At 38.7% G+C, this 25,852-nt stretch overlaps 1 protein-coding gene across 3 annotated transcripts in view; it reads left to right on the top strand.

Moving 5' to 3' along the window:
* Positions 1 to 25,852, top strand: part of CSMD1 (CUB and Sushi multiple domains 1) — a 2,059,554-nt gene that overhangs the window by 1,416,764 nt on the left and 616,938 nt on the right. For all 3 annotated transcript variants that reach the window (XM_011534752.3, NM_033225.6, XM_017013731.2), the window contains exon 10: positions 3,085 to 3,206. In XM_011534752.3, the coding sequence (XP_011533054.1) occupies positions 3,085 to 3,206 (122 nt within the window). The remainder of the gene's footprint in view (positions 1 to 3,084; positions 3,207 to 25,852) is intronic.

The following is a 25,852-nucleotide window of genomic DNA, read 5'->3' as shown; positions in this document are numbered from 1 at the left end:
CTGGAAGCTGACGGAGGGAAGACAGTGGGTGTGCTAGATGGAGGACTGTATGTTGGCTCTTCTCTCTCCACTATGAAATTCAGAGAAATTAATGTAAGCTTTCCTGGCCCAGGTAATAAGGTGAGCTGCAGGACAGCTAGGGGACAACAGACACTCTGTTCACCACCGTGTGGACATCGGCTGGTAGAAATCACAACAGCTCAAGCCACAGGGTGGTTGTTTAATAAGGTCTCTACACATGCACGGCTGAACTTACGGTAGTTGCCATTTGAAAAACTGAGGGTGATTCTGACTAGTAGAAAACCCTAGATGCAAGGAGGCAATAACTAAATAAATCATAACGAGCCAAATAGGGGGCGCATCATCAGATGGTAAAGAAGCAGATGATTAGGTTGGAGAAGATTTAGAAAGGCAAACATTGAGAAAGTAGCACAAGCTTTCAACAATGTCCTAAGAAGGAGGGTTAGAATTACATAATTACAGTTAGGTTATGTGACTTAAGGCTGTTACACCTATTCAGAAGCTATGCTAATATTTATTGAGGAAACAATCAAATGCTAAAAATTGTTCTAATTGGCAAAGTTAAACAAATGAACAAATCAGACACAAATCTCTGGTCTGAATATTCCCAATATTCATTTTAGATGACCATTTTGATGGCTTAATAAAAAAATGGACAAAAAATAAACAATTTTTTATTAAAATATGTTGCAAAGACGGACAGAGATTTCTAAATTAAAAAAAGAAACATGGGTTAATTTGAAAGCTTTTGGTAAAGAATGTCTCTGAAGGAACTGGGTCCATGACTTGCTTTGTGTGAAACTTGGTACTTCATAGGCCTGAAAATGTGGTGACGGGCTGGCTTCCTATGCATATTTTATTAAAAGTTACTTCACAAATAAAATATGATGCATGAGATGCATTTCATGAGATGCTGGTAGCCAATTTTCATAAGCCAAGTGAGGGGCCAGCTTCACAGCAGGCACCTAGGACACAAAGCCATGGGCGGGGCCAGCTTTAGGGATCTTTCCGGCTGGGAACATCTGGGCCAATGACAGGCTGAGCCCACCTTGTCAGTAGGATTGTAACAAATGACTTTCCCCTGCAGATGTTTTTCAGATGTACTTTTTAAAAGCTTGAAATGCAGGCCGACAATGCCAATATGGTTACATTGCTTCACAATTAAATCAGCAAATATTTATGAACGCTACATGATGTTTATAACAGCTGTTAATTATGAAGTGTTAAAAAGTAGGAAAATGCAACATAAAGGTATTACAACTCAGAGTTTATTATCACTTTTTTCAAAGGTTTTCTAGTTGGATAATGCTAATATTAGAGGGCTTTAAGATTTCACATCTAAAGTTTATGATCCTCTCTGAGAACAGCTCATTAAAACAGACTCATTAGAGAGTGAGATATTAGTGTATAAGAGGGGTCCATGTTTTCATCCAGTCCTTTGTCCAGTGACCTTTAGACCAATGACACACCTACTGAGTTTCGGAAACCCAGTTATGTTTTACCCATGTTTGTTTTTCATTTGGACAGTAAATGCCAGCATTTTAAAAGTTAATTTTAACACACTTATCAATGTAGAATAGGTCAATTTTAGCTAATTATTTCCATAGTAAGTAGGAAGCAACTGAACAGTTGTCTCAAATTATGTTGTCCCATTTTCACATGTCTAGGACTGCAGCGTGGTACACAGTGCTGAGGAGGGACAGGTAAATGCAGAAAGAGGACAGTTCCTAAGGTCAGGGAATGCATAACCATTTAGGAGAGATCTCAGATGAACAGTCACAGTAGATTACAGATTAAAGAAGCATTATGAGGAATAGCCATGATTTGTATTATTATTATTATTATTATTATTATTATTATTTTGACATGCATGGAAGAGAGAAATGTCTGGTTCTTGAGTCCCTTTGGAAAACCTGCGTTCAGTGGTTAATTCTTGTCCCCCCACAAAGTAGCCCTTGTTAAGTCACAAGTCCTGTTGTGCTGAGTTTTGTAGCTGAGTCTGCTAGAATAATAACTGACTTGAAGAAAGGGTTAAACTCAAGGAATGAAAAAATAGAGGATGGGCTATGACGAGGATTAATCCTTCCTATGAAAAATTTTTGTCAGTTTGTGTCATAGGATGTCTTAGGAAAATGAAGCAGAAGTTCTCTTACATTAATTTCTTCTTGTGAAATTAGTTTCTTCTGCTCCTTTCTGAAACCCAGTTTAAATTATGAATGTTAAAACCAGAGTCTCTGCTGACATTATATTTCTAAAATATGTGTATTGATTTAAAAAAAAAAAAACTCCTTTCATAAACTGGAGGCCAATTAAATTATTTTTGTATTCCAGACTAAGTTGTATATATAGAATTATGCAATTTCTATGCTTCACTCAGTCTTTCATTTCAACTTTAAGATTTTTTTTATTTTTAAAGTCACCATTCCTATTTTCTTTCTTTAAACTTGCAATAAATTTTAAGTTCCTATTTGCGTTGTGCTGTAAAGAAATTGGTATAGTTTATTGTAGAATAGAATCTAAAGCTCGAAAGTGACTTTGGAGATCATCTGCTCCAAAACCCTTTTTTAAAGTTGAAAAGACACAATTTATTGGAGGTCAGACAGTGTAAGACGTAGCTGAGATGGTAACTCTGGTTGAATTGCACTCGGCGGTGCCTTTCCCTCTATCTTACTGCAGTCGCACACAATTAGGTGTGTATGGAGACTCTCTGAACAACGACACCTACGTGAACACTCTGAGTCACACTGGGATTTGAAATGGGCTACTTTGGTATTGACATTGCACATGAGGCTGTCATCTGTTAGATCCTTTGGTGAGTGGATAGGCCTTTGGGAAAAATGAAGTGTCCCAGCGTAACACTGCAGATACCAAGCAAAAGTCCTGCCGGCTGAGCAATCCACTTGCTGACTGGAGTCCATGCCCCAGTTGGAGTCCATGCACCATTTTTTTTTTTTTTTTTACTGTGATTAGATAATAGCTAACTTGAAATTTCCCATAAATGTTATGTCTTTACCAAACTGACACAATGTTGTAGAAAATAACGTCGTTTCTATGTGTTTCCAGCGAGAACATGTGGATCCAATCTGCGTGGGCCCAGCGGCGTCATTACCTCCCCTAATTATCCGGTTCAGTATGAAGATAATGCACACTGTGTGTGGGTCATCACCACCACCGACCCGGACAAGGTAAGGCTCCGCCTCCAACCCCTGTGGTTAATGCACACAGCACTCTTATAGGATCTATTGTTGAAGCAAACAGCCCAGCAAATGCTATCCGTGCTTACACTTTACTGTTTGAATTTAAAAGTTCCAGCTGCATCCTGTGTCTAGATGCCACATTCATTGCAGAGCAGTCTGAGATTCAGATGCAAAGTGAGTATTCTCACTGTGGTGCCATTTAGTGCTTCTGGAGAGAAAGTCTACATTCCTCCTTTATGTATCATAGTGCTTTCTCTTATGTCTTTTTCAACTCAGGTCTCATCCACTATATTACAAGCTTTCTTAAATACCACAGTATTTATGCATAGTATGACTAAGTGTTAGAAATGCTCCTACTATACTCAGACACAAAAATACTGTCTTTTGGCCGGGCTCAGTCGCTCAAGCCTGTAATGCCAGCACTTTGGGAGGCCAAAGTGGGTGGATCACTTGAGGTCAGGAGTTCTAAAACCAGTCTGGCCAACATGGTGAAACCCCATCTCTACTAAAAAATACGAACAAAAATTAGCTGGGCTTGGTGGCAGGCACCTGTCATCCCAGCTATTCGAGAGGCTGAGGCCCAGGAATCGCTTGAACCCAGGAGGCAGAGCTTGAAGTGGGCCAAGATCGTGCCACTGCACTCCAGCCTGGGCGACAGAGCAAGACTCCATATCAAGAAAAGATAAAAAACAATTCTGTCTTTTGAATTGTTTTCTACAGTTCATGTGTTTCTTCTCATAAGCTATATACGTTTTTCAAGAATTAAACATCTGAGCGTGTTTTCCTCTTTCTTAAATACTTTGTGTAAAATATATATTTCCTCCAGGGTAGTAATAGAGGGTAATACTGTTATTTCTCTGTAAGTTTGCATACATAGTTTGCAATTATGTTACTACATTTTAAATCTTAGGATAGAAATCATACTCATAATCATGTTTCATTGGCTATCAAATGAATTTTTTTAACTCCTTTTAAGTTCAATATAGATGCTTGCCAGTAGGAAGAAAAAATAAGGTAGACATCTTCATATTGATTTCACTTAAAAAAAACTGTGAGGAAACTATTATAGGTATGGATTTCACTAAATTATGTAATATTAAAATAATTATATTTATAGTAATATTAAATTTACTGAACCCCACTATTTACCAATTATTGAGTTATTACTAACAGTTCTGTGTCTAAGTGATCATCTCTTCATTTTTACATTTTGTCAAAATATCCATCTTATTTATATAGTTTCCTCTCAAAGCTGTTGGGTTGCCAGTTCTAAAAGAGAAATGTTCTGATTTTAGATTCCGTAAAGTGTTCATCACAGATGCCTTTGGTTTTGGTTGGCTTATTTTAGTTCTAAAATCTCAGTTATTATTTATGTAAAAATTCAAGCTTTAATGAGCAGAGCTGGGTAAAACTCCAGGGCGTTGCAGGCTTTCTGAAACACTGAGGAATTTCTGGGCTCTCTTTGCTGTGACAAAAGCCTCCAAGTTTGATTCTGGTATTTCTCAGTATGCTAGAGCCGTGTTGTACCCTGGGACATCAACTACAGTGGTACAAACCTTGTTTTTTCTATATGCTACTCAATGGTTTGTTACTCAGTTTTTTACCAAGAAACTATTATTTTTCAGTACTTGCAATCATCACTTTAAGAACCAGCTCTGCCACTTAGTAGTTGCATGAATTTGGGCAAAGAGATATAGTAATAGCATTTACCTTAGAGAATAGTTGTGAAAAACAGATAAATCCACATGTTGCGTAAGTAAATGTAATATCATTATCTATTATAAGCTGCTAATACTGGTAGTGTAACAGAAACAAGCATAAGATAAATAGAAAAAAACACTTATTAACAATTTGTTAACTATTTACTAAGCCATCTCATTAATTTGTCTAACAAAAAAGAGTTTTATTTCAATTTGAATTAAAATTATATAGTATATAACTAGTTTATTGATAATTATGTTTACTAATTTCTGCATTTACACACTTTTAAATAATTAGAATATTCTGTTTGGTCTCCAGAAAATCATATGATATTGAGAATTTAGAAAAGTTCTGAAGGTTAGATAGTAGAACTTTACAGAGGAAATAGCTGAACAATTGAGTTTGTTTGGGGGCTATATTAGGTGTTGACTTGAGTTAAGAGTAAATAGATTACATGCATTTCCATAGGGGCTCAAATAAAAGCAAATATTTTATATTAAAGGGATTGAGATGTGATCGAGACCAGAAGTATCCCATTGCGACATTTTCAAAATACAGAATTATGTTACTTCTGCAATTTGAGAGGCAGAAGGAACTCTTCTTGAATTTCTTTTAAAGAAAACATAGCTAAAAGGAATTAATTAGATCAAATCAAGGGAATGGTTTAGTTAACCTGTGTATGTTCCAGGTAGTTTTATGAGAATTGCATGAATCTATCACAAATTTTAAAAGTGTGTGAAAGTGGAGATTACATAAAATTAGAAACGCTGGGCAGGAGAAACACAGCAATCAGGGGCTCTCCAGGAAGCTCCCTGCGTCTGCTGCCTGTGATGAGGTTGCTCCAAGCCCCTCTCCTGCCCACCTCCCTGCTCTTAGCCCGCTTCACAGTGGCAGAGCCTCAGCCCTCCCTCAACTGCTCCCTGAAGCTCCTGCTTTCTGCCCCAGGCTCTGCCCTCAGAGTTTGCAAAGCCTGCAGGAGTCTTCTCCTCCTTTTGACACAGCCCCACTTGGACTGAGAGGGGGCTCCCACCGCCCTTCCTGGGTGGAGAAGGAGTGCTCGAATGCGCCCCTGTAATGGGTCGGGCAGAAAACTCTGAGGTGAATTCTCACAGCTCTGCAGCCATCCCTAGCAGGATGGAGCCAAATGCCTGCAGGGACACCGACTCAGTATACCACTCACAGGTGGAATTTCTTTCCATCCCCTTCTTTCGCGTCTTTTGAAGTCAAATGAATGGGCTACCGTTTAGGAAGGCTGCGCTTTAGGGGGATCCACGAGGAGACGAACTTGAACACGCAGTAACTTCACTTCTTCCTGTAGCCCTTTCGGTGGAGAGGACGGAAGTACACCCTAAAAGGTTTCCAGAAGGAGACGTGAGACGCAGAGTTTGGAATCTAATACAGTACTTCAGATGAAAGATGATAAGGTCTGAAACAGAGCAGACACCATGGAGTGGTGCAGGGGAAATTGCCCCAGACGGAGACTTAGCAAGACTGGAGACCTTCCAGCACAGGGACGGAGGAACACAAGACCCTCAAGCATGGGGAGGGAGGAACACAGGACCCCCGAGCTCGGGGAGCGCAGAACACCGGATTCCCTTGGACCTCACACCCCTGCAGGCTTCCCCCTGCAGCTGCCTCCAGTAGGTGCCGTGGGTGTGGGAAACAGGAGAGAGAGAGATGACGCCGTGGGTGAGAGTCAAACTCGAGGCAGGTGAGCATTCTTGCTTCTGTCGCAGAGGAGTCTTGGTAAATCTCTGCTGTCCTTGAACAGTTACTAACAATGCCTCTACTGCATTCTCAAAATCTTTCCAGTTCAGAACAATATATGTTCTCCGTACCTTTAACCAGGGAACAGACTTCAGGAACCAATTTCTTTATGTAGGAGATGTGTATGCTATTAGGCACAGAGATAGCAAGGTGCCTACTGTCCATCCAAGTCCATGGAATGGGCAGAGGCACATTTAGAATTCACAGGTGTGTTGTTAGCCGAGGAAACCAGAAATTAGGATGACAGCATGCAGAAAGCAGAATATAGTCCAAGAAAGCCTTGTTGATGGCGTTGGTTTTCTCTCATAGTCAGTTGGAGGTAAATTTTGCCTCAGCTGTCGTGAGAATGATCTTCCACCTGTAAGTGCCATTACAGAGTTTTAAAAGACTGAAGTGTTTTGCCCTGGAGTGGAATACCCACAGTTTCCACTTTCCAAATTCATTTAAATCCAGATTATACATCAATAATCATAAATATTTTTATTCTATATGAAAGATGTGCCTATAGCACATTTTAGTTTCTATTATTTTCCTACACATACTAGAATAATTGAAATTCTATCTAAAAAGAAGCTTAGAGTTCCTATTGTTTAAACCTTTTACTACTTGACAGAGAGGAAGTCAAGATCCCGGAAAGTGAAACTCCTTGTCGTCCCATTGCACTGTGAGAACGCTTTATTAGCTTGCTTGCTTTCCACCATAAATAAATGAAAGAACAGGTTATTTTCTACCTCCATAGGGTATTTTTGGCTGTAACTAACAGAAGAGCCAACTAAAAACCGAAAGTTTGGGGGATACCTTATTTTAGATAACAAAGGGGCAGAGTCAGGGAGCTTCCAGGTTGTATTCAGTAGCTCCGTGATAGCATTGCAGCTCAGGTGTTTGACATTTTTCCTGCCCCCTCTCTAGAGCGGAGACAATATTTCCCCTCAGTTCTCAAGACGTCTGCAACCACCTGAGGCTTTAGTTCCCGATTTGGTCATGTTTAATGAAATGAGGCATGTTTGGCTAGAGATGGAAGACATATTTCCTAGAATTTGTCTGCTGAGTTCCTTCATATCCCATTGCGTCAAATGCCTGTGGTCCAATTGCCACGGAGCCAAGGAAAGAAATATCTAGAAGCCAGGAAGAGGAGCCGACGGTTAGTGTATGGTGACCAGTGATATCCATCACATCCAGGCAAGCCAGACACCAAGGAAAGAGGTTGGAATTAACACTAGTATATCTTTTGCATATGATGTGATTCCAATCACAGTATCTTCCTTTTACTTTAGTTTTATGGCTAACATCCATTAAAACTCATGATGTATGTTCTTTGATTTCTTAAAGTGGACTTTTAAACTTGTCCAAAACATAAAATGACCAGTAATGAATTTAGGCAGCTTGGGTTTATACAATTCTCTTCTCTCCTTTTAGAAGTTTATTTTTTCTCTCTCATCTTTGTGTACACTTATGCAGACATTGTATATATTTTCTTGATTGTGAGGACTTAATAATTAACACATTAAATTTCAGTTATTTTGTGTTATATTGCTTCAGAAAATTATTTGCCCTTTGTCATTTATCTCGGAGAAATGTTCAGAGAAGAAACAAGGTATTCCAGGTTGACATACCCGCACAACCAATACTCTTAGCAAAGCACCACTTAGACACCTGAAGGCATCTCAATTAAGCAGAATTACCATCCAAATTAAGCAGCAGCCATTGCCATTAAGTATAATTAGGCTTAATTTGATTCCTTGGGAGACATTCCAAGTAAGTGGGTTTCTCAATTAAGTGCACGTTGATGAAAGTGTATTACGTATTGAACATAAGAGAAAAGAGAAACAGTTACATAAAGTTTCCATGCAATGACTCTTGCCAGAAGCATCAGTGAAGCATTTTGGATGTGAAGAATTTGCATACTTCAATTTGTGTGTTTGACCTGGTCTGCAAACTTTAAGAAATAAGATAGGACAGAAAAGCAGTTTCCGACGCCAATTCTCTCTTAGTCAATACAAACTTCTCTTTTTTTGAAACATTTAATCCTCTCTTGATTCATACTCTTTCCTAGTCTTATCTCGGCTTTGACTGTTGTATAACCAAGTGCTGCCATGGTCAGTTTATTGCAAGTATTTATGTAAAACTCCTCATGCAAAATAATTACTTGCGGAATCTTAGCATCTCCCTAATAATGCACATCACATGTTATCATGCTATATCATGTCAAAAGGAACACGAAATATCTATCGTTAGAAAATCTAAAACTTTTAGAAGAAACTAGCATTTTCTATTCAGGAAGTTATAAAATGAAAGGCCTCTCAAGAAGATTCCTTTAGTGGAGAGGCAGATTTTTAAACAATTGGAACAGCTCATACCAGGGTATTCTGGTAGAAAGTCAATGCAAAGTAATATTATATGATATGTATAAATATGTTTTATTGTAGACACATTTGACAATCCAGCTATTTTCAGAACTCTTGATGAGTCCTGCAATCAGAATTCTTGAAAAAGTAATATATATTGTGAGACATGTGTTATAGTAATTAAGATAAAATTCTCTCAAAAGTTTATCCCTGGGGTCTTCATTGGAAAGTTTAAATGTATCATGAAGGACCTACCTTCTACTGAATAATTTTATAAAGTTTATCCCCAGGGTCTTCATTGGAAAGATTAAATATATCATGGAAGACCTGTCTTCTACTAACATCTTTTAGGTATAAATGTATGCATGCATACATATATATATGTGTATATATATATGCATAGATAAACACACACACCTATATATACACATATACAGTATATCAGCTGGAATGAGAGGTGTGTGTTCTAAGTTAAAAGTTTCTGTTATATAGCTCTCAAATACATATAAAGATAAATACATTGATATACACACACATTTTAAATACATTCTGTGGTGACATAATTTCAGCTACTGATTCTAATTTGAGCTTCTTGTGCAATACTTTTGTTGCTATTAAAGCTCATTAAAAACTCTGAGGATTTAAAAAACTCAAAACGTTAGTACATCTTACTGATTTGTTCTTTGTTTAGTTTTCTTTTTCTTTGTTTCCAGCTTTATTGATGTATAATTGACAAAAACTGTACAGACTCAAGGTGTATTATACAAGCACAATGAAATATTACTCAGCTATAAAAAGAAGGAAATTCTGCCATTGACAACAGCACACATGGATCTGACAGGTGTTCTGATGAGTAAAACAAAATATGTGAAACTTTGATTAGGGAAATAAATACTCAAACATCCACAACAATTGTTTTGTTTGGCAAGTGAACATCAGTACTTTATAACCCTCAAAAAGACTTTCATATGAATTTTCAAGTATTTAATTATAAGTTTGTTTTATTATATATTTATAATGGAAATTATAAAATTATTTTTAAACATATTAAGTAAATCAATACTCTGAAGCACATGTAATTCTAATAGTGGCTTCTGTCAGTACCAACTTTTCTAAGGCATCAGATGAATTCCCACAAATGCTGGATGCCTGCACAGTCATTGGTGGGTTTCCATCTCCGGCGTCCATGGGGATGTCAACACATGTGTGTGATGATGTGTGGAAGGAAGAAGGAGAGTGATGAGGATAAGGAGTCCAACTATATAATGAGAAAGCAGAATCATTTAATACAGCAAATAGTGACGGATCTGCAGAGGATGTTCAAGAAAGGCAAGTAGCAGAGGGTGTGAGGGAAGGGGGCAGAGAGGTCTCAGAGGATGTGGAGGAAGGTTGGACGTTCCAGAAATTCAGAGAGGGGAAATAACCAGTCTTTCTGTACAGTTGCATTGCTTGGGAATATTGTCGGTAAACAAGGCTGGGAATTTGAGCTGATACCAGATGATAGGTATTATAGGCTTTTTCTTTCTCCCTTTCCTTCCTTTCCCTTCCCTTTCCTTCCCTTCCCTTTCCTTCCCTTTCTCTTTCCCCTCCCCCATCCCCTTCCCCCTCCCCTCCCTTCCTTCCTTTCTTCCTTTTGTTGTTTTTTATTTACTTTTTATGTCTTCATTTATATTTTTATTTTTATTTTATTTTTAAAACTTTTATTTTAGGTTAAGGGATACACATGCAGGTTTGTTATATAGGTAAACTTGTGCCATGGTGGTTTGTTGTACAGATTCATCACCCAGGTATTAAGCCCAGTACCCAACAGTTGTTTTTTCTGATCCTCTGCCTCCTCCCACCCTGCACCCTCCAGTAGTTCCTAGTGACCATTGTTTCCCTCTTTGTGTCCATGTACTTTCACCATTTGGTGCCCACCTAGAAGTGAGAACATGCAGTATTTGGTTTTCTGCTGCTGCGCTAGTTTGCTAAGGATACTGGCTTCATCCATGCCCCTGCAAAGGACAAAATCTCATTCTTTTTATATGGCTGCATAGTATTCCATGGTATACATGTACCAATTTTCTTTATCCAGTCTACCATCGATGGGCATTTAGGTTGACTCCATGTATTTTCTATTGTCAATAGTGCTGCAATGAACTTATACCTGCATGTGTCTTTATGATAGAACAATTTATATTCTTTTGGGTATGTACCCAGTAATGGGATTGCTGAGGCAAATGGATTTCTGTCTTTAGATGTCAGGAATCACCACGCTGCCTTCCACAAAGGTTAACCTAGTTTACACTCTCACCAACAGTGTATAAGTGTTCCTTTTTCTCCACAACCTCACCAGCATCTGTTAAATTCTGACTTTTTAATAATAGCCATTCCAACTGGTGTGAGATGGTATCTTATTGTGGTTTTGATTTCCATGTCTCTAATGATCAGTGATGTTGACCTTTTTTTAATATGCTTCTTAGCTGAATGTATATATTCTTTTGAAAAGTGTCTGTTCATATCTTTGCCCACTTTTTAATGGTTTTTTTTTCTTGAAAATCTAAGTTCTTTTTCAATAAACCTTCACATCCTCTATGGACAAAGGGAGGTGAGGTGGGTTGGGTGTACCGGGGCTGAGCACACTGACAGCACACCAGGAGGGGCTGGTGGAGGTGCAGGAGGAGCGGTACGGTGGTCCCTAGGTACAGTGGTGCCTAGAGTGAAGGGATGGCTGTATGTCCTGGGTCCGTTCGTATTTCCTTTTGTATTAACTCTATCCACCTTTAAATTTTGTTGTGAGGAATATGTAATCGATTTAAAGCACCTAGAATATTATTTGCCAAATACTAAGTCCTCCACCTTCTTGTTATTCTTTTCTTCAACTCTTCCTCCTCATCCTCCTTTTTCTCATCCCCTTCCTCTTCCCTCTCCTCCTCCTTTTCCTTGTCTTTTCTCCCCTTTCCTTTCTCCTCTCTTTGTTGTTTGCCTCCTCTCCTCTTTCTCTCCTCCATCTTTTCCCTCTCCTTCTTCTCCGCCTCCTTCCCTTTCTGTTTATTTTAAATGACTAGGGTCAGAAAGATATAAACAGGGTCCCGTATGACAGGCAAAGAGTTTATGTTTTATTCTCAAAGGAAATGGGGTGTCAATGTATTATATTGATGAAAGGAATGGCATGAGAATGCGTATACGTTGGGAAGATTGGTCCGCATCACGGATGGCACAAAACTGGAAGCAGGAAAATCTAGAGCCTTATTCTAACTATGAAAGATGATATGAACCTAAATCAAGATGCTTGCATGTCATTTGGGGAGAAAAAAAAAACAATATATTTGAGAGATATCTCAGGGTTATGTAATTAGTCACAGCAATTTGTGTTTTTACACTACACGTTTCTTAATGAACAACTGCTAGTAAATAAGAAAAATTTGCTTTAAACTTAATGCTTGCAAGAAAATCCTGATATGTTTATCAGATCTGTTTTAGGGAAGGAGCTTTAACTTCTTTTATGATTCAATGGTTTTTTTAAAGAACTTGAATTAACAAATTCAGAGAGATGAAGAAGAGGCATTCACTTGCATTTGAAGTATTAAAAGGTTAACATAGAAACCTATGTTGTATATATTGGTTTAAGACATTTTGAAATGTGATTGGAATAGATATGGTTCAGTAGACTTTATTAAGGAGGCGATTCACGGATTGGTGGAGAAGTAGAGATTAGACACACCACCCTTTCCTATAACACCGAAGGGAGCCTCCCCATTATTCAATCAGACCTTTCCCCGTGCAAAGACACAGTGGCTCCACCAACTGCCCTGTTCACTTTTCTCCCATGCCACTGGGGAAAGGAGGACGCCTGGCCAACTTGCTTTGACAGATCCCTTAGTTCATCTTGGCTGTCATCATTAATCTATCTATCTGTCTATCTCTCTATCTATCTATCTGTCTATCTATGTATCTTTCTTTCTTTCTTGATCTCTCTCTTTTTTTTTTTTTTTTTTTTTTTTTTTTTGCTGTCTTGCACTACAGAGTTAAGTAAGAGTATTTTTTTTCAATATTTATTTTAAGTTCAGGGGTCCATGTGCAGGATGTGCAGGTTTGTTACACAGGTAAATGTGTGCCATGGTGCTTTGCTTCCCATCACCTAGGTATTAAGCCCAGCATTCCTTAGCTATTCATCATTAATCTTATGGCGTTGATCCATGATTGTGTCCTTGTCAACTCTCCAACATATTTGTCTCTGTGTGCCAGCTATTTCATTGTCTATGACTTACCCGTTACTGCTGCTTAACAGTTGCAACTTTTTTCATAAACTGAGTTTGGTTTTGGTGACTACTTCCCTCTCACACCTCTGTCATCACCCCTTTCAAGATCGATTGTGGTTTTTTGGGTTTTTTGTGTGTTTGGTTGGTTGGTTTTTCTGCCACAAGGGCACGTACATTCTCCACTTTCTGCTGGATTGATTTTCTTATAACACCTCAGTTCTTAACTTTCAGAACTAAATAGATTTATTTTTACTGCCTCCTCTTGGAGCTGAGAAATAAAATGGAGAACAAGGGCCATGCTTTTGATTTGCTTGCAAACATGTATTATACACACACACACACACACACACACACACACACAAATATACTGTGGAGCCAGCATTTCTAAGAAGACTAATCCCTTATCAGTGTACAACGTAAAGTGTTACAGAGGTAAAGAATAACAGCACAGCTGTAGACAATAGACTTGCAACTATTTAGCAGGTGTGAGTGAATGAATGTCTAGGTTTGTGTAGGAGTTATTTATGGACACTGAGGACGACAAAACATTCAAAAAACATCCTGGGAGAAAAGTTTACAGGATTTACTCCGTTTCTTTTTTTTCTTAATAAAAGTTGCTTAAGTTAGGGAAAAGGAAAAAATTCTAGTATTCAATAGTAGAGTAGGAAAATTATAGTTAATGATAATTTATTATATATTTCAAAATAGCTAGAAGAAAATAATTTCAATCTTCCAAACACAAGGAAAGATACATGTTTGAAGTGATGAGTATTCCTGTTACACTGTTTGGTCATTATGCATCATATACATGTACCAAAATATCACGTGTACCCCCAAAATATATACAACTACAAATCAAAATAAAAGTAGCTTAAAAAGACAGAACTTTAATGATCGTATACTCAGAATGTACCCAAAAGAATGAACATTAGTATTCATGAAAAATAGGTTTAAAAATATGTTGGTGTGTTTGTCTGTTTTTGTTTTTTTGAGACGGAGTCTAGTTCTGTCACCTAGGCTGGAGTGCGATGGCATACTCTTGGCTCACTGCAACCTCCGCCTCCTGAGATCAAGAAATTCTCCCCCTTCAGCCTCCCGAGTAGCTGTGATTACAGATGCCTACCACCACACCTAGCTAATCTTTGTATTTTTACTAAAAACAGGGTTTCACTACATTGGCCAGGCTGGTCTCGAACTCCTGACCTCATGATCCACCCGCCTCAGCCTCCCAAAGTGCTGGGATTACAAGTATGAGCCACTGTGCCAGGCCAGGTTAAAAAATGTTTTTACTTGTGTTTTTGTTTTGTTTTTTTGTGAGTAAGAGGTGTGTATTTATATGGTTTAAGATACAGGGAGGTGTAAATACCTATTTTCTTTGGAGCTCAGTTAGTTTTACAGGTCTTAGATGTGGTCCTTTTTTTTTTTTTTTTTTTTTTACCTTTTAATACGTTACCTATTTTATGCATTTGAACTTTTTTTTACAATTTTTCTCATTTTTAGTATTTGTCGTACTTAAATACAATAGTAATGATATGAGTAACAACAAAGCAAAACCTTTTATATTCAGCAATTGTTTAAATTACACACTTTTAGATAACTGGGAAGGAGTGTGAGAAAAGTCACTAAAATCCCGGTTTGTGCGGAGATGTCACTTTAGAAGGAAGACATTAGAAAACAAACAAAAAACCCAACTAAATAAAACGTAGTCACACAGTGCCAAATACATTAGGACAATGAAATAGGGGGAAGAAATAAATTCTTGAAAATATTTATAAAATGAAGAAAAATTACAACCCTGTATAATTCCTCCCACCCAGATCATGACCAAGCAAAGAATGGCATTGCATTCTAAATGCTTCTACTTTCTCTTTGACTTCATATTATCTTGTGAAGAGTTTTGGGCTAATAGAATGCAATTAAAAATAATTACTAAATGGATGGTTTGGTTTTTTTTTTAACTTTTAAGTTCATGGGTACATGTGCAGGTTTGTTAAAAGGTAAACTTGTGTCATGGGGGTTTGTTGTACAGATTATTTCATCACCCGGTAAATAAGCCTAGTGCGCCTTAGTTGTTTTTCTCGATCCTCTTCCCCCTCCCACCCTCCACCCTCCAATAGGCTCCGTATTATTATTATTTTTAACCAATCAGTTGTTTAACATGTAACTCTTTGTGATTTTTTTTCATTATTAACTATAATAGTGTCTTTAAATTCCCAGTGGATAAATTGTTTCACAGATCCAGGATATTTGCCTTCAGAAAAATTTCTAGAAATAAAATTTTACTGAGTTAAAAAAATAAGCATATTAAGGGAGAGTTTTAAGTGGGGAACTTTTGATTTTGCCAAGCAGGCTAAAATAAATTTTGGATTGCTGTGGCACTCATCTGTGTTCAACCTTAATGTGTGTGTGTGCATATATATGCTGTGAGTATGTGTATGTGCACGTGTGTGTGCATGTGTGTTTGTGCATGTGTGTGTATGCATGTGTGTACGTGTGTGTGTGTGCATGTGTGTGTGTGTCCCATTAGCAATACTGACCAAGATGCAGATAGAGGAAAGGAGGGTTCCCAAGTCTTTCTAGATTCTAAAACTCTCTCATCAGTTGATGTTTTGTGGCCTCCATGCCACTAGAGTTCCTTTAACAAGTATGATACAAATCTCTATTCTACATCATTATTTTAACATTCACTTTCCATCTTTCCCCACCTACTACTGTATTATTTACAGTGGATTTTTTTTTTTTTTGTGGGTTGGATTTTCTTTTCCCTCATATGGTTATGTTCATCTGTAAGAAGGTACCGAATTTTTACTCTAAACCTGCAGAGTGTTTTATGAGATGGGTGGTAGTGATGTGTAAAGTCAGGACTCCTCCTTCACAAAGTTTCTGACGTAGCAGATAAGGCAAGCCCTGCAGTGCACACAGGCACACGCAGCTCACGGGAGATCATCTGCATCCCTCGCTTATGCAGAAGCCTCTGGGCATGGCTTCCTCTGTCTGTGAATGCTAGCCCCTGCCTTCCTGGAGGGCCATACATTTCTCCTTCCTCAGTGACTAACTTTATAGATACTACTTTTTTTTCTTTTTCTGTTTTTAATTTTACTTGTTAAATTTTTTAAAGCGGGTATATGTCCAGTTTTGTCACATGGATACACTACATCGTGGTGGGGTCGGGGCTGGTAGTACACCCATCACCTGAATATCAGCATGGTACCCAATGTGCAATTCTTAAGCTTTACTCTCCTGCCTCTCTCCTCACTTTCGGAGTGACCAGTGTCTGTTGTTGCCATCCTTATCTCCATGTGTACCCATTGTTTGGTTCCCATTTATAATCGAGAACATGTGGTATTTGACTTTCCATTTCTGCATTATTTTACTTAGGATAATGACATTCTGTTCCATCCATATTGCCAAGAAATGTATCATTTTATGATTGTGTGGTATCCATGGTGTAAAGATACCGCATTTTCTTTATCTGATCAACCATTGTTGGACACTTAAGTTGATTCTATGACTTTGCTATTGTGAATAGTGTATAATGAACAGAGGAGTGCGGGTGTCTTTTTCGTAGAATGATTTCCTTTCCTTTGAGTAGATACCTAGTAGTAGAATTGCTGAGTGAAGTGGGAGTTCCAGTTTTAGTTCTTTGAGAAACTTCCATACTGTTTTCCATAGAGGCTTACTCATTTACATTGCTACCAATAGTATTTGCTTTCTGCACATCCTTGCCAACATTTGTTATTGTTTGACATTTTAATAATAGCCATGCTGACTGGTGTGAGGTGGCATCTCACTGTGGTTCTAATGTGTATTTCTTTGATGATTAGTGATGCTGGGCATTTTTTCATGTGTGTATTCACTGCCTGCCGTTTTATTGCTGTTAAATAATGAGTGGTCACTGTAATTTTCACTGCCCATTGGGATGCTCTGTGAATCTGGATTCTAAATACAACGTGAGGCGTCTGTAACATGGAAGTAAATAGGAACTGGAAGAATCAATCAGTAAATGGTGATGAAATTCTACAAAAGACCCTTTACCCTAAGCCATTGTGTTACAGAAGGATAAATGAAATTGCTTTCTCTAGCTCGATAGGGTCAAATCAAGGAGATATATAGCCAAAAAAGTTCTCCTGAAAGGCTGCTAGTGATAATTAGGTTCCACTAATTTATGTCAAAAAGTACCCTGAGAGAAATTCATGGTTTCCATGAAGACAGTAAAAGACAATAGAAATATCTAGGTTTTTATATCATCCCGCCATCTCATTCCCCCTTTTCTCTAGCCTTTCCATTCCTTCTTCCTCTCCCATTCATTTTAAGAGTCATTTATAACTCAGAGGAGCTGCCTTTTCTCAAATACATGCTTTCAAGGTCTAGGTTTCTTCTAGGGCACTAATACAGCATGAGAAGAATCAGTCTGGAGTTCACAGACCTGGGATCCCATCTTGACTTTGCCCATTTTGCAGCTATTTCATCTTAGAAAAGACACTGAAATTCTTGACTCTCAATGTCCTCATATGCCATATAACTGTGGTGATGATAATGATAGGTACCTTCACTAATGGTATCATTTCTGTGTTTCTCAGAGAAATGATGCATGTGGAAATGCTTCTAAGTAATTAACAGTACTACTGTTAATATTATCCTTCTATTAATATAATTTCTTCTTTGGACCTTGAATTTCTTTGCATTCCATTATTTCAAGGGCTCTTCCTGTGCCTTACAGAGATAAGTTATATAATCAACTTTGCTGAACCCAGCACTACAAGTTCGAATGGGTCCTGGAATCTCTGGGTGTCTTTTCTAGTGAACAGATCCAGAAAAAAATCAATTGTCTCTCATTCACCAAATTCCCTCCACACTAAATCCCTTACGCTGGCCACTCATCTTGTTAGGAAATCCAGAAAACCCACCTTCATTCCGCACGGCTTTCCTCCTCTGTCACCTCCAGCTGAGCAATAATTCCTTCACCTCTTGAATATCTTTTGTCTTCAACCCCTCTTCCATTCTCACTGTGTCCACTCTAGGGGCCTCTTAGTAGTCTTGCCATATGTTTTGTTTTAATCCCTCATAGCTGTTTGTCTCTCCTCACTCTCCATTTTCTAATTTATCTTCCACAATAAATTTGAAATGTACTTTTCAAAAATGTAGATATATGTATAAAATACAATCAATATGTGATCATTATTTTAAACATGATATAATACAGTCAAATACGAAGCAGAAAGTGAAGACCTTGAAATGCTTTAATCTCAAGATAATCAGTGATTGTAATTGTGGGTACTTATTTTTAAGACTTGTATCTCTGTGTTTATAAACACAAAAACCCAATTCTTTTCCTTTATCATCTTCCATTTTTCCTCTTCCTTCTCCTCCTCGTTCTTCTTCTTCACGGTGCCTTTAAATTTTAGATGATGTTCCACACATTTACAGGTTGCTTGGCAACGTTACAATATGTTGCGTATATTCCCAGATGAACTTTATTATTTGTTTTGGCTACTTAGTATTTCTTCCCATCAGCTTACTCCTTTAAACCTCTGTTCAGACCATGCCTAGTCTTTGAAATCACAAACAATCATTCCATGGCGATCTTCATGTTCACACCAAGGGCAGTTATTTCCATAGGACAAATTCTTTGAATTGGAATTATGGTAATGTTGTTGCACATTTGAAATATTGATACTTATTGCCCAAACACATACCATATGCTAAAAGAGAGCTCATGGAAGTTCCTGCCACAGGGTACACACACCTGTATTTCAACAGCGTTGATAGCAAAGTTAAAATCAGAGGATGTTATTCTTCAGCATAATATCCTTCAACACTTCTCCATGGTCCTTTACATGTCACCAATCTTTCATGACAGGTCACCAGACCACCACGGCAGTCCCACTTCTAGTCATTTATCTTTTCATTCCAATTCTGCCGTCATACTGGGCTACTCTGGGACCTCGAATCGTGGTGCTGCCCCAGGACGCTTTCCTTTTCAGACACCTTGAGCAACTACAGGGCGGCAGGTGAACATGGGGTACTACTGAGACACCATTCATCATTGGAGGAGTGGACACGAGGTGCTATTGAGGCACCATTCATCATTGGAGGAGTGGACGCGGGGTACTATTGAGGCACTATTCATCATTGGAGGAGTGAACACGGGGTACTACTGAAGCACTATTCATCATTGCGGGAGTGGACACGGGGTACCATTGAGACACCGTTCATCATTGGAGGAGTGGACACGGGGTACTATTGAGGCACTATTCATCATTGGAGGAGTGGACACGGGGTACTATTGAGACACCATTCATCATTGCAGGAGTGGACACGGGGTACCATTGAGACACCGTTCATCGTTGGAGGAGTCGACATGGGGTACCATTGAGGCACCGTTCATCATTGGAGGAGTGGACATGGGGTACTATTGAGACACTATTCATCATTGCAGGAGTGGACACGGGGTACCATTGAGGCACCGTTCATCATTGGAGAAGTGGACACGGGGTACTACTGAGGCACCATTCATCATTGGAGGAGTGGACACGGGGTACTACTGAGGCATCATTCATCATTGGAGGAGTGAACACGGAGTTCCATTGAGGCACCATTCATCACTGGAGGAGTGGACACAGGGTACTATTGAGGCACTATTTGTCATTGGAGGAGGGGATACGGGGTACTACTGAGGCACTATTCATCATTGGAGGAGTGGACACGGGGTGCTATTGAGGCACCATTCATCATTGGAGGAGTGGACACGGGGTACCATTGAGGCACCATTCATCATTGGAGGAGTCGACACGGGGTACTATTGAGGCACTATTCATCATCAGAGGAGTGGACACGGGTTACTTCTGAGGCACCATTCATCATTGGAGGAGTGGACACAGGGTACCACTGAGGCACCATTCATCATTGGAGTAGTAGCACACATTCCACAATGTTTTTGCAAACCAACAAACTATTTATTTAGGGAGTTGACCGTATAACTTATTATCTGATCCAAATGCTGAACCAATGGCATTATTACCCTTAAGTTACCTTTGGAGTAAAGGGTGATAATGCTATTAATAATCAACCTAGAAACAACCAAAGACTCTATCTGTCCTAGGCAAACCAAAACCTGTGTCACCTACTAGGGGACTAAGGGGAAAGTATCCACAGGTAGAGGAAGCTGTGATGTGTTTTACTGTGGAGAGAATTGTAAAATGATTATCTCCATGCTCCAAGCATTTCCGCAGAAGGCAGGAGATAGGGCCTCAAAGCAGAGGAAAGAAAGCCTCAAGCAGTGAGAGGCTGTTGGGGCCAATTCAGGACTTGCTCACCTCTAAAAGGAAACACTGTGCCTCTTTTTAAAGAGTGTTTGTTTGTTTCTTAATGGTGCATAATGAGACATGTTGTTTAAATTATCTTTTCAAGGAAGCCTATGTCTAAAACCTCTTTGAATTTCCAGTCTTGTGCACAGCGTTTGGCAAATAGTGAAGACCCATAAATGGTCACGAATAAATGATAGTAATAATGGCCAAGTTTGGAATGTTTTACCCCACTAGAGAGGCAGCGATGGTCTGCCATAATTAAAGGTCTTTTGTTAAAAATAGGTACAGCTGTCTCCAAGCCACGAATCCCACAAATCTACATATTATTTGGGTCCTAAAAATGGCCAAATATGTTGTACTAATACATATCCAGAGAAACAAAACATTATTTTCATAGAAGTGTCTTCTGAATGTAACACACAAAATATATTTGTGGCAGTGAAGCTCAGTCGTGGGTAATATTTGGAATGGATTTGGCCGCCTGTATTGTGTTCCATTGCACTTGCCATTCTGTGTTTTTTGACAGTGCCATTACCCTGCAGTTTCCACCAAAGTGCAGATTACAAAGAGGATACTGCAAAGGACTGGGTGCTGGGTTCTGCTTGACTTAGCAGTTCTCTAAGTGAGGCTTTATGTGTGTGTTTGAAAACTGCATTTGTGACCTGATGATTGTTTTTGTGGCTTTCCTGTGAAGTACGAAGTGTGCTGAGATCTGTCCAGAGGGGGTAAGCCCTATGGCAGTGAAGGGAGAGGGGCATCCACCAAGGTCGCCTCTTTTGGCAGTCTTTCTATGATCAGAGGCTGAGCAGCTAGGCTTGAAAGCTAATAAAGCTTTGAGAGAGGAGAAGTTAAATGTTAAGTCATACTTTTCATTTAAAGGTGCTTACAGTAGAGAGACGCAATTACCATTATCCTCGTTAACAGGTGGCACAGGCAGCCCCCACGACAATGTTTTTGTACCAGCCCTAAAGGCAATGATAGAGTGATATTGAACTTTTCCATTTCTGAAAGAGAGAGAGGGTGTGTGTGTGTGTGTGTGTGTGTGTGTGTGTGTGCGTGTGAAAAAGAAGTTTGTATTTTGTTTGATAATTTTGGCTTAAGGACTGAACAAATTATCTCAACCCACAGGATCCCTCATAAATTCTTTGTGTGTGTGAATATATATATATATATATATATTAATTATTATAAATTTTAAAAATCTTTGTGGGTAGATAGCTAATAAAATCAATTGAACTCATGGACATAGTAGAAGGATGTTTATCAGAGGCTGGGAAGGGTAGTGGGGGTTGTAGGGAGGTGAGGGTGGTTAATGGGTACCAAAAAACATGGAAAGGATCCCTCCTAAATTCTACTGTAACAAACAAAAGTCTTCATAATTAAGTGTTACATGTTTATAAAATCCACTTAGGAAATTGATGATTCTGAATAGTTCCTCTGTTTTGTGCTGCTGGGTTTTGTGAGGAGTCTTATGTAGTTAGTGGAATATGGAATAATACATACTTAAGAACATCTAGAGCGAAAAGTTAATGTCAAATTCCTCTATATTCTATTTGTTCTGTCCTTGAATGGGATTGAAATCACCAGTTTTAATAGTCTGTCATTTAACATTGGGAGAACCAGAGCTATTCAAATATTTGCTTTCTGGGAGCTGTTTTAATATCACATTTGACTGACTTCTGGAACCCTAAACAGTATTATTAAAATGCTCCACTATGTATATTTCATAGAAAAACTTTTGGCACCGAAGATTTTGTCTATAACCATACAACTGTCTGCCTAACCATACATCTATCTAACTATCTAAAATTAGAGATACAGAATGAAATGAATGGGAAATGAACAGAAAACTCAAATATGATAGACACATATTTTATTTTTATGCACCCTCACATTTAAGTTATCAGATTCAAGTGTACATGTACTTCCATATTTACTTTAAATTTATATGTAAAATAAGTTTGTTCTGTAGAATTAAAGAAAATGAGCTAAACTTACACAAAAGCTTCAGTGAAGCAAGCGTTTAAGTTCACCCAGCTGTGGAATTTTTGCAAATGGGGCTCAGTGCATAGAATTTAAACCTGTCAGCATCCCACTTCACCTCCACCTTCTGACCTGCCAGGGCCACCTGACCCCACCAGCCCTCATCAGGAAGAGCAGGTGGGATGATTTGGCTAAATTCTTACAGCGTTCAGACTGTCATCATCAATGACCACACCAGAAATACCCTGAACGTGTCCCAAGAACAGAATGAAAACCTCTGTGAGCCTCAGTATTGAAATACTGCCTAAATCATCCCATTGGCTTCATGACTCCTAGCTAAATGCCCTGTCACATTTCACAAGCACTGCTCACAAAAGCTCCCGTCCATCTTTCCCTACACCTCCCAGACACATTTCTCCCCATTCTGCTTGTTTTCTGGCCTAGGTTTTGCTCATAATTTAATAGCGCCTGCCAGGGTTTGCCTGTCACGGGTCCTACGGCTGCACTTGCCGAGGGCTCTCCTGGCTCCTTAGCCTTCCCTGGCGGAGGACTCCTCACGCACAGTCTTCTTCCCTTCCTCCTCAGCTTATGTGGTGTTTCCTGCTTCTGACAAGAGCCCAGGTGTCTGGGCTTCTCTTTAACACCCCTGACCCACTTGCCCTGTGTGGCTGCTTGCCAGGTTACTGTTGAGTTTCAGTGACACTCTCACCACTGCAGGGGGCTCCCTGCCTGCTGGCTGTTCACACAGCACTCTTGGCCTGCCCAGACCCAGCTCACTTGACACACTGTTGAAATCTCTTCTGCTTACTTTGTAGATTTACTCCCTCCCCCGCTCTGAAGTATTGACCCTCTGTGGAAGTTCTGAAGCTCTCAACATTCTGATTAACAAAGCCAGGCTGAGAAAAAAAACTCTAACAAGCTCAAGAAAACTAAGGTGCTGCCATTCATGGGCTATTTCTCCCACCTGCTCAGATCCTCTTTGGCCTGGCCATGCTGTGCCTTGTTAGAGGGGCTGTAGCTTCTTCATGGCTTCCAACAGAGCAGGAGCTGGGGGTACCAATTATCTCAATTCCACATTTATGTGGCCTTGCTTCCCTTCCACCCTCCCTTCCCCTCAATGTGGGGTGTCTGTGACCCTGTTCTCTGCTCCCCCAGCTCCAGGCTCTCCCCAGACCCCCAGAGGGGGCTTCATTGTCTTCCTCCTCAATCCCAAATTGGTTCACAGCCCTCGCCAGCCAGCAGGTCTTCTGTAGTTATTTCTCACTCTTCTGACTTCATGTTGAACTGGTCTGGACCCATTTAAGATATTCCCTACCACTTCCAAATGTGTTTTCTCATCAGCTTGTCTTTTCACTGTTCTTATAAAGAAAAACACAATCTTTTTTGCCTTAAATGGCTATATCCATTAAAAACTTCTTCTTGTCTACCTTCTTTTTGTGTATGTTTCACTTGTATAAAAGGCATGAGCTTAGACATGCATTAAATACAGTCATGAAGAACGCATAATATAAGCTACGAGCACACACATCCACATCCCATCTTTCAAAACTATAATGTTTACTTATTTTTTTTGAAAAATAAAATCAGTCCTAGAGAAAGCAAATTTCACCCATAATTCCATCACCTAATGTACAAATTACATTCTGTTTTGCCCCATTACGTAGAAGTCTGCCTTTACATGACCATTTAAATATGACTGTTGTGGATATGTATGTGTACGTGTTTGGCATATGTGTGTTTTCAGTCCTTTTCAAGAGTGATACAAATATTATAAATATTCTGTGAAATTATTTGCCTATTTTTCACTTAATAAAACATAAACATCTCTCTAGATTTATTAATTTATATGTCTACTTCACATATTTTAATGTCTTCAGAATATTTGTAACTATGGACCTACTAAAATTGGTTTCCCTATCCCAAGTTAACAAAGAGTCAAGTTGTTTTCAAGATTTTACTGTCATTAGCAATGCTGGGAGGGACATCACAGTTATGGTTTATGTTCTGATAAAAGGTAGAGCTGTAATTGTTGGATATTCCAAGTCTGTGCCACGGCAGCAATCCTGCTTCTACAGTATGGTTGATTTGACGCAGCTGTCTTAGGAATATCTTCTTCAAATTTTTTTCATAGTAGGGAAGAAACTGAGGAACTGAATAGACATAGGATGAGATCATGAATCAGCTGGGTCTGTCACACTCTGTCTGTTTCATGAAACAATTTATCTAAAAAAGGCAGTTAATGACTTCTCAAATTATTATAAAAATTCCTGAAATTGGCTCTCATGTCTCCATTTCACCAAGCGTGTGCTGACGGTGTGCCTGCAGCTCCGAACTATGGCTACATTACTGAAAGCCTACCTAGGTATCTTCTCATAAATCCATGAAGTGATATTACATTGCATTTAGCACAGCCTGAAACTGATGAAAGATATTCAGAGTAGGTCTTTCCTTTCTTTTTTTTTTTCTCCTTGTCCACAATTTATTTTTTAGCTGGTTGGTTGATTGGTTTTAAGAATAATATTTTATTGCTTGAATATATTGAACTCTTCAGTATTCTTCTGCAAAACTACCAGTAATTGACAGACAGTACGTGACAGGTCTAAATATGTGGTGAACTATTTCTGAAATATAAATCTTCTCTGTGTTTTATCAAAAATTATAACAGATTTCCGATCTCCATTAATTATCAAGAAAGTGGAAGAATTTACTTTTGTATTAAACAAGTAAATCTTTTATAACTTAATTTAAAAGAATATAAATTATACAATTTTAAAATTAATGAAAATGGTTCTTAGTCTTCTGTATTAAAAAGCAGAACTGTTCTTGTGTCAATAAAATTCATATAAACTAAAAGCATACTTTACGTAGATAATTTCGTAGTCTAAAACTTCAGACCCAAATGGAGTATATGAACAATGTTGATGTGAATACTCTTGCAACAGAAAGGATCTCTGTAGCATACGCGTTACACTTGAGTCCTCTTAATTCCTTAAAATACCTTATATTTGCATAACCACAATGCCCCCCACCTTATGTTTATCTTGGCTAATCCAATTCAAAAAAACTTTTGAGTCTCTTTAGCAATGTTTTCTGAGATAGAAAGGCAGTTATCACAGGTCAGAGGAAGCTTTATAACTGCCTAACAACAATCCCTTTTAAAAATACACAAATTGTTATGAACTGTTTATTTTAGCATGTAATGCTTACAAAATGTCATGGAGATTTAGTTTTCTTTAATTTAGAAATATGCAAAAAAAAAGAGAATAAGCTGACCTTATTTTTTCATGCCA

This window comes from Homo sapiens, chromosome 8, assembly GCF_000001405.40.
Source record: "Homo sapiens chromosome 8, GRCh38.p14 Primary Assembly".
In the NCBI taxonomy this organism is placed as follows: Eukaryota; Metazoa; Chordata; class Mammalia; order Primates; family Hominidae; genus Homo; species Homo sapiens.
This window is presented reverse-complemented; position numbering and strand designations above follow the sequence as displayed.